The sequence below is a fragment of the Homo sapiens genome, chromosome 15 (genome assembly GCF_000001405.40).
Source record: "Homo sapiens chromosome 15, GRCh38.p14 Primary Assembly".
Classification (NCBI taxonomy): Eukaryota; Metazoa; Chordata; class Mammalia; order Primates; family Hominidae; genus Homo; species Homo sapiens.
In genome coordinates, this window is record NC_000015.10 from 86903261 (window position 1) to 86917563 (window position 14303).

The 14303-nt window shown below is 42.6% G+C and overlaps 1 protein-coding gene across 5 annotated transcripts in view, besides 1 other annotated feature; it reads left to right on the forward strand.

The window, feature by feature from the left end:
* AGBL1 (AGBL carboxypeptidase 1) overlaps positions 1-14303 on the forward strand; it is a 951857-nt gene that overhangs the window by 823641 nt on the left and 113913 nt on the right. For 3 of the 5 annotated variants that reach the window (XM_017021919.3, XM_017021918.3, NM_001386094.1), the window contains one exon: positions 3827-12896. The exons of the other annotated variants lie outside the window; for them this stretch is intronic. In XM_017021919.3, coding sequence (XP_016877408.1) covers positions 3827-4034 — 208 coding nt within the window. In that variant the 3' untranslated portion in view covers positions 4035-12896. Of the gene's footprint in view, positions 1-3826; positions 12897-14303 lie in introns of those variants that run through there. 5 annotated transcript variants of the gene reach the window in all.
* Positions 2971-4170: an enhancer, noted in NCBI's record as "MED14-independent group 3 enhancer chr15:87449462-87450661 (GRCh37/hg19 assembly coordinates)". NCBI's record gives its function as "activates an origin of replication core promoter dependent on BRD2, BRD4, P300/CBP and CDK7 cofactors, and independent of MED14, by STARR-seq in HCT116 cells {active_cell/tissue: HCT116}" and the evidence as "EXISTENCE:reporter gene assay evidence [ECO:0000049][PMID:35650434]".

Genomic DNA, 14303 nt, shown 5'->3' on the forward strand with positions numbered 1-14303 from the left:
ATAGCTTCCATTTCTTTGCTGAGACTTTTTGTTTTTTACTGAGTTCTATAATTCTGTTATTGGATTTCTCAACTCTCCAGTTTCCATTTATTCTTCTTTATTTTCCCTACCTTTTTTTCTGGGATGTTCTATTTCTTTCCTGAGACATTTTATTTTTTTCATTTGTTTCATGTGTGTCCATAATTACTTATGGCAACACTTATATGCTTTAAAATCCTTGTCAGATAATTTTAACAGCTGTATCATCTTGCTGTTGGCATGTCTTGATTATCCTGATTCTTGGTATGATGAGTGATTTTCTGTTGAAACTTGGGCATTTTGAGTATTATCCTATGAGGCTATGGATCTTATTTAAATCTTCTGTTTGAGCTGATTTCTCTGACACCATTCACACAACAGAAAAAGGGAGCTTGTTACTGTCAGGTGTTGGGTGGAAGTCTAGGTTCCCCACTAGGCCTCCAGGGGCACCCAGTGTGGGGAGGGGCTCCTTGCTACTGCTGGGCCATGGTGGGAATTCCAGCTCCCCACCAGGACTTTGCTGATCCCTTTCTGGCCAGAAGAAGCAGCAGTTCCTCCTTACTGCTCTCCAGTGGTAGGGGACAGTCTTGTTACCAACAATTGCCTGTAGAGGTCCAGGTTCCCCACACAACCTCCACTGATATTGAAGGGGAGGAAGCCACATTATTACCCAGTGGGGATAAAAGTCTTGGCTCCCGCATGAGGGAGATGGGGGTCTGGTGAGAGTAGAAGCCTAGGCTCCCTGCTTTTGTTGGTGGGGATGGGGGTGGGACTGCTGGCTTTTCTGTGGTGTTTGCCTGGAGTAGAACAAACTTTTCTTTCTTGATAAGCTGCCCCCTTCCTCATCGTGTGGCTAGAGGAAACAAGCTCTTGTTGGGGCTTTTAATCATCTGCACCTCTTGGCATTTCCAGCTCTCAGCTGTTCCAGCTCCAAATCTAGAGTATGTGAGGCCCAAAGGAAACCCAGAGAGATCATTGCCAACTCCACCTGCTAGTCCTGAGGCCCTGATACGGTCTGCCTTTTTCTCTCCCTACTCCATCCACGTTTCAGTGTCTTCTTATTTTTTTAGTATATAATATTTTAATATATAATATTGAAGGAAATTAGGAAGAGGAAAAAGTAAAAATACTTCTCCATCTTTTCAGAAGTGAAAGTCCTTGAATATGTATCTTAATTCCTTATTAGAATGCTTACATTGCATTTGGGCAAATAAGTGAGAGATAAAATTAAATGATTTTGAGACTCCTAAATTTATATATATGTTTATAACATATTATGTTACATAATGTATTATCATATCATATATAATAAGTATTATATATTCTATTTGTAGTATCTATTATATTTATTTTGTTATGTATAATAAATGTATGTTATTATATATAAATATATTACATGTATTTTATTATATATAAATGACAAAACCATATTTGTTATAAAACACTAAAATTCACAGACATGATAATTGTGGTATAATCCATATATAAAAATATTTTAAAAATAAATTAAAAAGTAATTCCACAAAAGATGATTCAAATATGGTTTTTTCTATATATACCCCTGTTATATGTTCAATTCAGCAACTCTTTATTGCATGTCTAGTATGATCTCATTACATTCTAGGTGTTCTATAGTATAAAATAAACATAAATCTGACAGAGGCATGGGCCTTATTGACAATAACACTATAACCATGTTAATGATAAAAATAAATTAATTTGTAAAGACTCATATTTAGAAAATGGAAATTTCATTAAGAGATGGAGTTATCAAAATAGTCATTTCATAGAAATTAAAGTGAGCTTTTTAAAAAAGCTGCATTTGGTTGTATGTTGAGGGGTTGGCAGACGGTTTTAGGAAATTGTGAAGGCTTGGGAAAATATTACATCTGGTATGTCTAAATGATCACAACAAGTACGACTTGACAACTTGATGCGCGGGAGAACTGCAAGTTTGTGAGTGACTAGAGCCAACTGTGCAGGATGCAAGGCAGGACATTATTTAAGCAAGACTGACCTTGTTGTGTCCCACTGGACCCTGTAGGCTCTGTTCATCAATACTCACATTGCACTAATAGGCAAGGGAGCATCATTGCAAGTTCCACAAAAGTGGCATAATAAAAATGATGTTTAGAGAAATTATTAGGAGTGCCAATTTGGCTGGTTTTGCAACAGTTATTGCAGTAACCCAGGTGTGAAGCAACAAATCTACATGCATGCTCTTCTTCCACACCATGTTTCACCATGTTCTTCAGAATCAACAGCACAGCAATGGAATTAAAATGTGGTGATTGCCTTTATTTCACAGAATACTCTGCTAGACAATATCCATGTGTTTTGTCATTTAGTATTCAATGCAACTATTGAGGTATTATTATTGACATTCTATTAGATTAAGCAGTTTTTCCAAAGTCCCACAGCCAATATTTAAATACAGGCTTTTGACATTGCATGACACTGACACCTCCATACCTAGCATGATGGAGGTGAGGCACAGGCTCCCAGGGTTCTCAATGACTTGAGCCTGTGTTGCAGCTGGGGCAGCTCTTGCCTTCCTTTACTCAGCTACTTTATTACCCACAAGTCAGCCTGTAAAATATGATAACAATTTAATGTTGTGATGCTGTAGAAACAAGTTTCATATTTCTTCCCCTTCCTCTCCATTCAGGCAATGTCCCACCAGACCTTCAGTTTAGGGTACCGCAGCCTGGAGAGCACAGAAGCAGCTCACATCAGTCAGCAGACAATTAAGACACTGGCCTTTGATTCATTTCCCGATCTAACATGTAACCATGCTGCTGATTACCCATTTTCATTGTTTATGGCAAGGCAGGTGGATGAACAGCTCTGCCTGATTTATGAAGTGCTTGCCTTCTATAAATCACAGAGCAGAAACCCAGCACGCTGCTAATCCTAATTGGTTAAGTCCTAAGTAGGGAGTGATTAGAAAGTCTTCAGGAAAGAAGGTGCCTTATGCAAATGAGGGAGACATACAGCTCCTTGGGAGGAAACTCCCCCTGCTCACAATATGCTGTAAAGTTTTTGTTAATGTTCGTTCCTACTGCCCCCTTCTATCGCTTGCTGGTCAACCCCTGTTGATCTTCCATTTGTTAATAAACTGGAGAGAGGGCATAAGTGGGAAAGCACAAACACTGTAGAAGCAGAATGCTGTTTGCCCACTTACTCTGTCATTTGTTAATTTCAACCTGGATTAATTTTCCAGCTACTATAAACCATTCATCATGATGAAGGAGAACCGTGTAATATGACTCATAGTGCTGTTTATTGGAGTGGGAAACACGAGGGCTTTGAGTTCTGTCTACCTGCATTCCAATCCCACTCTTTCCTGGAAGAAAATGACATGGCATTCTCAGACACTCAGTGATGACCTTCTCTGATTGTTCACTTAAAGCCTAAACTACTTTGAAAAATTCTAAACATGTGAGGCTGTGCACATCTTCTGATTGGAAATAGGGCTAAGAAATGTATACTCTGCTGGCAAAGGAAGAAAGAAGCCTGCAAATTGTTACAACTTTCCCCCCCAAGCCTCAAGGTTGAGGACACAGGGGAGTGTGCATATGACACATTTAAAGGAGCAGTGATCTGAGGTTAAAACTCAAAGCAGGAAACTTCCACTCTCCTCTTCCAACCAATTGAATGTGTTCCCTTTTTTGGCTAATTTCTCTTTTTCATTTCTCTCTCCTCTTCCCCATCTTCCTCCTTCTACTTCCCTTTCCCTTTGTACATTTTCCCTGTCTACCTTCCTCTTCTTCCTTTCTTCTCCATATTTCCCGGGACCCAATGGCAGGTGCAGCAGCAGCAGTGGCAGCGTCCCTTCGGAACTGGAGGATGAACCTGCCTGCTTGGAGGAGATTGATTACAGTACCGACAACAGCTCAGACCAGGAAGGGAGCTTGTCTGAGCTGGACCGGAGGATCCAGGAGTGTGCCTTCAATAAGTTTGAGGGAGAGGAAGAAGAGGAGGCACCAGGGCAGGGAGGAGAAGCCATCCCATAGCCCCGAGGTTCACAGCAAGTTCTGTGTCTCCAACCATTGGATTGGACTAGCAGCTGTGTTGCTGCTTCTTCATCATCAGACACACACAATGTATATGTCAGTGCAAAAAGCCAGCCTGTGTGAGCTCAGCAACCCCATTTCCAGATTTTGTTCTAGTTTCCCTATGCGTAGAAGCTAGCCACTTTATAACATTTTATATTAGAGTTAGGTAGCCCTTGGGGCCTATGCAAGCTGCTATTGTACTTAGAATGGGACCCAATGGGTAGCCTCAAGATTACCATGGATCCTTTCAAGATTTTTCTGAGTTATTCTCCATTCTTGTGCTTGAACTGGAGCAAGCTGGAAGTAGAGGAGTTGGGCTTCTTCTTGGCTTCTCAGCCAGAATTCTAAGTGGTTATTTAAGTTGTTCCATATACAAGTGTTATCTTCCAATGTTATCTCCCCACCATAGCATTTGAGCACCCCAGAACAAACCACTGAGACTCTGGGGATCCTGGCAGGGTCTTCAGGTGCTGGGGCTTGAACATGAAAAACTGTGCATCCAAGTAATTGCAGGTTTCATCTGTGATCTTCTCAAGCAGCATATATTTTACATATGTGGTACAGGCCAGAAGCTGCACTAGACTCTTAGAAATAAGACATTGTCACTGATCTTCACAGATTTTAAGATCCTATGTATTCAGATCACCAAACATAATGCTAGGAAGTACCAGACCTACTGGAAAATTTATTCATTTCAGAATCTGACAGATATGGTTCATATGCTAGATCTGGCAGTTGCTTGTTATGACAATTTAGGCAAGTAATTAAATTTTCCTAAACTTCAGTTTTCTTATATATAAAATGTGGATAAGTATATCTATATCATAAAATTATTGTAGGATGAAATGAGATGATATATAAAAGTGTATAGCTTAGCATTTGGTACACAACAACATTGGCTTATTTTTCTTCATAACACAAAAGAACATTCTATATAAGAATTCTGACAGTTAAGAAAAAATTCTCACCAGCCTGGACAACATGATGAAACCCTGTCTCTACTAAACCCCATCTCTACAAAAATTAGCCAAGTGTGGTGGCGCACACCTGTAATCCCAGCTACTTGGGAGGCTGAGAAAGGAGAATCGCTTGAACTTGGGAGGTGGAGGTTGCCATGAGCCGAGATTGCACCACTGCATTCCAGCCCGGCAACAGAGCAAGACTCTGTCTCAAACAACAACAACAACAACGACGACAAACCCAGAATCCAGAATTCTCTGGAGTCACATGGTAGGAAATAGGCCCTCTTACTGGAAGGGAGCTGGGAAGGAGATTACAGAGGAGCAGAATCTAGGAGGCTGGAATCACTTAAAACAGGTGAAAATGGAGCAAGGCCTTTTAGCATTCGGAAGGAAGAGGCTTAGTTATTTGAATAATGAAGTGTACGAGACCTGCGAAGAAAGGATGAGAAGGGACGACAAAGGCAGTGGTAGAGTGAGAGATAGAATACGCTAGGTCAAACTTAGGCTGTTTTAGATGTCATGTGTATTAGTTAGGATTAGGTTTAGCTGCAAGAGATGGACAACTTATCATAGTAGTAGCTTTCATAAGGCATAAGTCTATTTCTCTTTCCTGTGGAATTTTACACACTGGAAGACCAGTCCTAGTGTCATGGCTGCATGGTGTCAGAGACCTGGCTTCTGCAGTTTTCTGGCTCTACTGTGTGTGCTTCTACTCTTGGTCTAGAATGGCTGCTGAAGCATCAGTCACTGCATCTGCATCCCAGGCAGTAGCAAGAAGAACACAAAAAGAAATGCCTGTTTTCTATCTTTCCAAAAGCTCTACATAATATTTCTTCTTAATCCCACCGGCTGAAAAAAATGGGCCTATAGCCACAGGAAGCTGCAAGAGAGGTTAGAAAACATAGTCTTTATTTGAGGTGGGCCCAGCTAAAATTTGAAGTTTGAAGTAAAAGTCTGAATACTAAGGGAAAAGATAATAATACATATTGGGAGATTACATATCTGCCAAAAGACTTCTCCTGATGTTCCAAACACCACCAAGGGAGTTTTGGATATATCAGAATAATCTCAGATGACACTCATAGCACACACCTCTTGACCAGCAGAAAGCCACAGAACAAAACAGGATTAGCTCCAAGGCATAGAAGAAAGGCATCTGTGTTGTGATTTTGGGAGTTGATAACATTATTAATAGTCTCTTATTTTTTTAACTCTTTTCCAAGTTTCCATTTTGTAGTTCAGAAATTGTATATCCATTCTTCATATTAAGACATGTATGTTTATGTAACATATGCAAGAAATTTGAAGACTATTAGCAAAGATAATGAAAGTGAAACCCAAACGCTATATAGCTCTTAACTCCTCCCATATTTAATCTTTCCACTCTTAAATAAAGGCTAGCATAATGGTGCTGATTTCTCTTTGCTTTGAGGATTCAAGAAGATAATATTGAAATGTAATTGCTGAGAGAGGTGGGAATGATGCTAGCTTATCATTAATTATTATTTCAGCCCAAATTAGTTTTGGGGGTTAGCTTCTGGTCATGAGGCATGTTTCTTAAAAAACGTGACCATGACAGATAAGTTTTTATGTGGCATGTTCAGAAAAAGCCAGGAACATGAAGTATTTGTTGATCCATCTATGTAACAAATGTATATTTAACCCCTAACTGTGGGTCATGCACTTTACTAAGCTCTACGGATGCAGATAAGAAAGACCTATTTTGTGCCCTCAGTAACCAGACAAAGAAGAACAATAAACATTCTAAGTTAATGCAGTATGGCCCATGCCATTATGGAACTCTGCAAAGAATATTACAAAAACGCCTAATCTAATGGGGGTGGCAGTTGTGGTAAAAGTCTACCAAAAGAAGGTCATAATTTGGGTGATTCTTGAAGAATATGCAGGAGTTTTCAAGTATAAAGGGAGAAAAGACATGCGAAGGAGTGGAAAGATTTTGTGCAAAGGCCCTGTGGTAGAGTTAGAGCTTGAAATAAAATGTTCAGTGTGACTGGTTTAAAAGATGTGTTTGTATGTGAGGAAAGGAGGAGAGTGACAAGAGATGAAATGGAAAAACTAGACAGCAGTCAGATAAAGCTGCATTTGGCATTCCTTGATGAAAAGGCTGAATTTAATTCTGAATGTAATGGGGGAGACTTAAAGAGCTTTCAGCAGAGGCATGCCCGTGACTGATATCAGCGCCATTTTTCCCTTGTTTATGGCTGAGGGTTTGGTGCTCCTGCTATGCTGGTTGTTCAGTAGTTTGAGGAGTGCCCCAGGTGTGATACTACTATATTTGAAGAGCAGAACGTTTGCATTCAGGTCAAAGATAATAAGTGCAGTTTGGGGACATGTTAAATGTTGGTGGCCTACATGATAGCCCGTTCGAAAGGTTTCCTAGAAATCAGAGGTACCTCAGGAAGCAGAAGGAGAACAAAGAGAGGTGTACCTAACACTTGGTGATTTTGGGGACACAGGTGAATGTCCTGAGCACCTAAGCCCAGGTGTCAGTGAGTTGGGAAGGCAATTGATTGGAGGGAAGAGGGGACTTGGGAGCAGACCTCTCTCCTTTCCTGCTAGGACTGAAGGCTATCTTGTGTCAAATCTCACCAGTCTTCCATCCAGAGTTAGAGGGTACTTACTTGAGAGTTAACTCTCAATAGTTATAAGAGCCATTCTTCCAGTCAAGCCAGGACTTTCTCTTGCTGGCCAGACCACTTCAGTGAATTGTTGGGATAAAACGTGTTCTACCAAATTCAAAGCCAAACTAAGATGACCCAAGAATTCCAAGGAGTTGTAGGCCATAATGGGAAGCAAATGTGGTCCAAAATGTGCAGAGGAGAGAGGAGAGTCCAGAGAGGCGATGTTGGGGCAGGCCAAGTGCATGCTGTCCTGTACCAACTGTCATCCGGTGCTCTGCATGCAGGACTGGAACTGGGGCTGAGGGGCTGTGGGGGCCTGCAGCTTCATGGGACAGCCTGGTAAAACTTCTCTGATGGGCAAAGGTTGGGAGCTTTCTGATTTCACCTTTAAGATAGTCCCATTGTTAGAATAGAAGCCCAAGACTTGCCACCCACGAGCCCTCAAGGGTGGAAACTACTGACCCCTTCGTAACACTTCCCTCTGGCAAGAGGCTTTGTGGCTTCACATTTCCTTCAGAAGGAAGTCTAAATGTCTCAACAGATCCCTTTATAGCCTGGCCCCAATCTCCTTGACAGCCTCAGGTTCTGACATTCTTTGTTCTCTTTGATTTGCCACAGAACATACCCTCTTTCTCTCTCATCGCACTTATGCTTGTGAGTGTCTACACACATATGCACATGCACAGTGCAATAGGGGCATGGAAGGGCACTTCTTAAGCCACACAGCTCCCTAAATGTACTTTTTGATTTTTCTAACATTTTCACATTTTTCCTCTGCCTCTGATAAGAATCTCCCATTCTCTCATTTGGGAATATCAAAACTCAGTTCAAATATCACCTTTCTTCTATAAAACTTGTCCTCATCACCCAATGCCAAGTTATATATAATCTCTCTTCCATGCCCCTGTTGCACTGTTTATATATCTCTTTTATACTATGCTTATTTTTAACTTGATAAATATGTCTTTTATACCCACACCCCCATTCACCATTGAATAGTGAGCTCTAAAGTGCACAAACCTGCTATTATCTTGGCATCTGTCCCTATACCTATCATACTTCTTAACACATTGCAGGTGTTCAAAAATGTGTCTTCCCCTCAGCTTCAAACTCAGACATCCAATGTTTCAATGAAATCTCACTTATTTTCCTTAAATCCCTCCGTTTTCCATCTCAAAGAAGAGTTTGTGTTATAGACAGGGAAACACAAAGAAGAGTTTGTGTTGTAGTTTCACTAAAAGGACGTGTAGCACAAGTGCAGCCTGGCCTCTCAAGCTGGTGGTTGCCATGGAAGAGTTCCCAGTGCGAGGCGAGCTTAACAAGGGGCAGGGTGTCCTTTTCCTTACCTGTGTTGTGCAAATGCTTAGAGTGGTGATAATGGAGGGGTGGCATCTCCAAGGGTTCCCAGGAGCTGCCACATTTACCCAGGGGCTCTGCCTCCTATGCTCCCTTTGGTGAGAACTGTCTGTGCAGCTCCATGGATATCATGCCAACTTGGCTGCCTGGGCTCTCCTTGCAATCCCATCAATAAGAATCAGCATCCAAGAATTCCATACATTGGCTTCAGTTTCCTTCCAGAAAGAGGATTCAGAGCCACCAAGAATATTTGAAATTAACCTGCTCCCTGAGTTACAAGCTCACCTTGAGGGCTGCCAACACAAGGAAGGTCATATTACACCCTTTCATTTATCAGCCTGGAAAATGGTGCCGTAGAGTCGATTTCATATGCTAAGGGCAGCCTCTGCCCTATGCCAAGAGAAGGAGCTCCCAGGAAATGCCTGACATAAGTCATCCTTGTTAGGGCCACAGAAGAATGACTCGCATGGTGGATCTCAGCATTTGGATTTGCATTAAAATGATGGATTTGTTTTGCCTTGCTGGTACAGCTCACCCCAGCTCCCCAAACTCTCTAGTCTTGGAAAGACATGCATAGTAGCCTGGTGCCCACCAGGAGGGCTTTTCTGGGCAAAAATAATTCATCAGCTCTGGAGCCTGCTGCTGTCTTCCCAACAGATGTCCTCTTTTGTTTGTGTTGCAGTTTGGTTCATGCTACCAATGCTTGATAAAAAGTGTTCTTTAGAAAAGAAAAAATAGAGTGGTAAAAGGGAATTTTGAGATAAAAATGGATTCTATTACAACCTTTCAGTGCCTAATAATAAAAAGATACAATTGCATATAACTTAAAATCATCTATTACACACACACAATTCAACATAATGGAGCTGAAGCTGAGTTTGAGTTCCCCACCACACACACACATACACACACACACACACACACACACACACGGCACAGGGCTTTAAGCATAACAATGAGTGAGGGAAGGTTGATCCTCAGACACATGACACATGTTCATACAGGTGAGGGGCAGCTGGTTGATGATTTTAGGCTCTACTGTCACACAGATGTCAAGATGAAGGCCTTTTGGGCAGAAGACGGGACTCATCTCTCATTAGCATGTGACATAAACTGTACTTGAAGTGTGTATATATTCTGGGCCAGTTCCAATGCAAAGTAAAATGGGTTCAGTATCATTGGTAGAGAACACAGTCTATGAGAGAATTACCAAATGAGCCACATTTAGTTCTTATGACAAGTAGTTAAACAGAGGAGAGCACTGACTGTTTACAAGGCTGAAGCAGGCAAGGCGTGGTGGCTCACAACTGTAATCCCAGAATTATGGGAGGCCAAGCTGGGAGGATCCCTTGAGCCCAGGAGTTTGAGACCAGCCTGGGCAACATAGTTAGACCCTGAATCTACAAAAAATAAAGAAAAAAAATAGCCAGGCGTGATGGTGCATGCCTGTAGTCCCAGCTACTAGGGAGGCTGAGGCAGGAGGATCACCTGAGCCTGGAAGTGGAAGGTTGAGGCTACGGTGAGTCGTGATCGCACAACTGCACTCCTGCCTAGGTGGCAGAGTGAGACCCTGTACTCTGTCTAAAAGTAAATAAAAAGGCTGAAGCAAAGATGATTCTACATGGGGGGATTTCAATGATCTTTTATAGTCTCTAGGCTCTTATGGGGTTAAAATGATTTCTTGGTATCAGACAAGTATTATGACCAGCTCCTGGCAAAATAAGTAACACTTAAGCATAATTATTTGGAGCTATTCAGTTAAAGTGTCTGAGTGTAGCCCTGGTCTTGAAGGGCAGGGCAAGACATGGCATTGAGTTCAATTGTCTCTACTGGCTGTGGGACGGGACAGGAAGCAGAGAAGCCGACAGGTCTGCCATCCAAACATCCAGGGTATGGGGGTTAAATGAATGAATGTCCTGGGGTAGAAGACTATCAACCAGACCCCACCCACACTTCATTCTGAAGAGGAAGTTATTTTGGGAGGTATTAGAGGAGGAAAAATCTGCCTGTGTTTCTGCTCTGCTCAGACAATCACATAAGTGACTCATTTCACTCTCAGTACCAGCTCTGTGGGATAAATGGACATTATGATTGCCATTTTAAAAATGAAGTGCACCCATACTTAAAGAGACACGTTTAGTAAATGATAGAGCTGGAATCTGTTCCCGGGGAAATCTGACTTCCTAACTCATGCTCCCTCCACTTCCCCAGAGGAGGTGAATATGAACCATAACACAGTTACAGCTAACGTGGTAATTAGCAACACTTAGTATCTATAATAGTCTAAGACCATCGCAGGTGTCATCATGTTTAAGCCTAAAACTTCAGCCCAACGAGCTAAACTCTGTTGTTATGCTCACTTTATAAATGAGGGCATTAAGAATTTAAGGGCTAGCCTAAGATGATACAGGTAGTAAGTAGCAGATCACAACCTTAACTCAGGCAATCGGACTCTTAAACTTGCTCTCCAAGGAAAAACATCTTTCTTCAAAGACCCCTAAGGGCCCTCTGAGAGGTTATGGAGCAAGTCTCCATTTCTAGGAAAGTGTGTTGTTCTTGTAGATCCTTGACTCAAATACAAGTAACTCCTACTGGCCATTTCTGCATAACTTCCTGCTCCTTTTCAAACTCAACAGGTTCAAAGTCAAAATCTCCTCCCAACAAAATCTCTACCTCCAAATTCCTAAACTTGATTATGCCGATAGTAAACCGGCGTTGTTTGATTTATTTGTGTGCCAGATGCAGAGCTCACTGTCTGGCCGAGGCAGGTACTCAGATCTTCACTAAATAGATGAATCTGCAATGTTGTTGAGTGTGAATCTTAGCTTTGGTTGGAGTCCAAAGCTAAGAATCAGACTCGGTAACACTGTTCTCACCTGGACTTCAAGTTTTCTTACCACTCTTCTCACCTTTGGTTGTGCTTCCTTTCCAACCCTTTCATCCCTGTGCAGCCTGATAGTATTAGGAAGGAAAACCGGCTTCTACTTTCGCAGTTTATAATTTGTCAGTGACCTCCCATGGTCTTAAGGATAAAATGCAGACAGGACCTAGTGCTTGAGCCTTTTCAGATCCAGCCACTACGTAATTTTCTGGTCTCTTCTCTTGACATCAGCCCCTGTTAAAGTCATAAAAACTTACTTTCAATTCTCAGAAAGCACCTTACTCTTCTGTTCCCTCTTCTTCCATCCATGTGCCTAGATCTATCCATTATGTGCTTAAATGTAGGCTCCTCCAAGAAGTCTCCCATGATCTGATTCTGAGTTCCTACTGTCATCTTGGAGAAACCCAGTCACAGCTTTTGTTGTATGGCATTGCCTGTGGACTTTGCTGTCCCCTCTTCACCTCCCCCCCACCGCCCCACTGCACCAAGACTGTAATATCTTGGAGAACAAAGACAATTTTGTTCACTGCTACATCCTGAGAGCCTAGCATCGTGCCCAAGATGTGGTGGGACTTCCATAAATATGTGTTGAATGGTTGAGATCTTAATTTCTGTTAGAACGGTCTCCTGAGAATGACCTCCTACCCGTTGCCTCAGTAACCTCTTACGCATGGAGAGCAGAGCTGCAGGAAAGCAGGACACACGTGAGTCCAGCCAACTCAGAGCTTCAAGGAGGCGTCCAGGAGAAACCTCCCTCAGCCCCGTTTGCGGTGCCTCCTGGTCGGTAATTTTCCAGAAGCAATTTCTTGTTTCCTCCAAATGGCCTGTAGAGGTCAGAAAAGGGCCTTGTTTTCCAATCACCGACTGTCCTGTCTACATTAGCATTCACCCCGGGTGTCTATAATTAAGCAAGCCTAAGCTGGGCACATAGGAACGGAAATGCATTGACTTTAATAAAACAGAGTGTAAAACAACTTTAGATTGACTCCAGCCTTGTTTATTCTTGCACACTTGTAATTCTGGTTTGGTATATTCCCAGTCAAAGAGACCATTGTCCTGGGAACTGAAGCGTGTCCCTTGCTTCATTGCTGCTGCAGCCTGTCCAAGGAGGCAAGCCGCACCAGGTTGCTGCTACCAGCTCACAGCAATTTTTTTTTAAATTTTTTAAAGAAGAAAAAATAACAGAGAATAACCTGTGAGAACGATGAAAGGAGTTCCTATTGATGTCCTGGACTTTGTGTGTGTGTGTTTGTGTGTGTGTGTGTGAATGTAAGTACATCCAGAGTCCAGAAAAAATATGTAAATAATAAAAATGGATCAGGCACTCTGGTCTTCACCTATTGTGTAATTTAGGAAATGATGGTTTTGTTCTTTAAGTGATTCCGTAGCATATGGAATAGAACATTATAACAGAAGTTGAGAGTCCAAGGTTTAGGCTCTGGCTCGGTTACTTCAATATATGGCTTTGGGCTGACCCTTTCCTCTGGGTCTCAGTTTCTCCATTGGAGGGTGAAGGGCTGGACCACACGAAATCTAACCTCACTTCTATTTCTAATATTCATGAACATGAATGCTGTGCTGGCGGGGCCTGCAGAGAACACCAGCAGGCCCGGGGCTGGCCAGGCCGGTGAAGAGGCAGCGTGAGGTGGCTCACACTAGCGTTCTGTCTCTGCAGGGACCGAGGCCAGGCCTGCACAATGATCTATTCAGAGCACAGAGCAGAGCAGTGCCGTTGATATCCTGCCAATGCCCAGCAGAATAAAAGCTTCCGAAATCAGGGCTAAAAATAAATAATAAAACAAAATGACAACATAAACAGGAAGACCTAAAGGAGGGGGAATGAATTGAGTCAGCAAACTTCAGCTGGGGTGGGGCAGGGAAGAATCTAATTTGTTTTCATCCACATGGTTTGGCCTGCTAGGTGCTGCACTGGTGTTTAAAGTGCTGTTGGAAGGGGGAGTTTGATGCCACCCTGGGAGAAGATAGAGAAGATGGGGGAGAGGCGTGGCTGCTCTCTCAGGCTCGTTTCCTCCCCACTGTGCAGTTGGTCCACCCACTCCTCACTGACTCTTTGTTGGTTGTTCAGAGAGAGTTCTTTCACAGTCCCTCTCCTGTCCCTGGCCTCTGCCTGGGCCTGGGCCAACTGCCCTCATCGACCTTGTCTCTCAGCATTTGGGGCCCAGCTTCCTCCTAGGCTCTTTGCACACACTCAGGATTTCAATCAAAATGACTTTCAAATCTGGTCATTTAGGGGAGGATGTGTGCAAGAGGGTTAGGGAAAGGGAGCTCATTATTACTGAGCACACTGAATGTTCCGGCCACTGTACAGTTACATGCAACATGCAAGGAGACAGACAGCAGTGACCTAGCAGCAGCCACAGGGCAA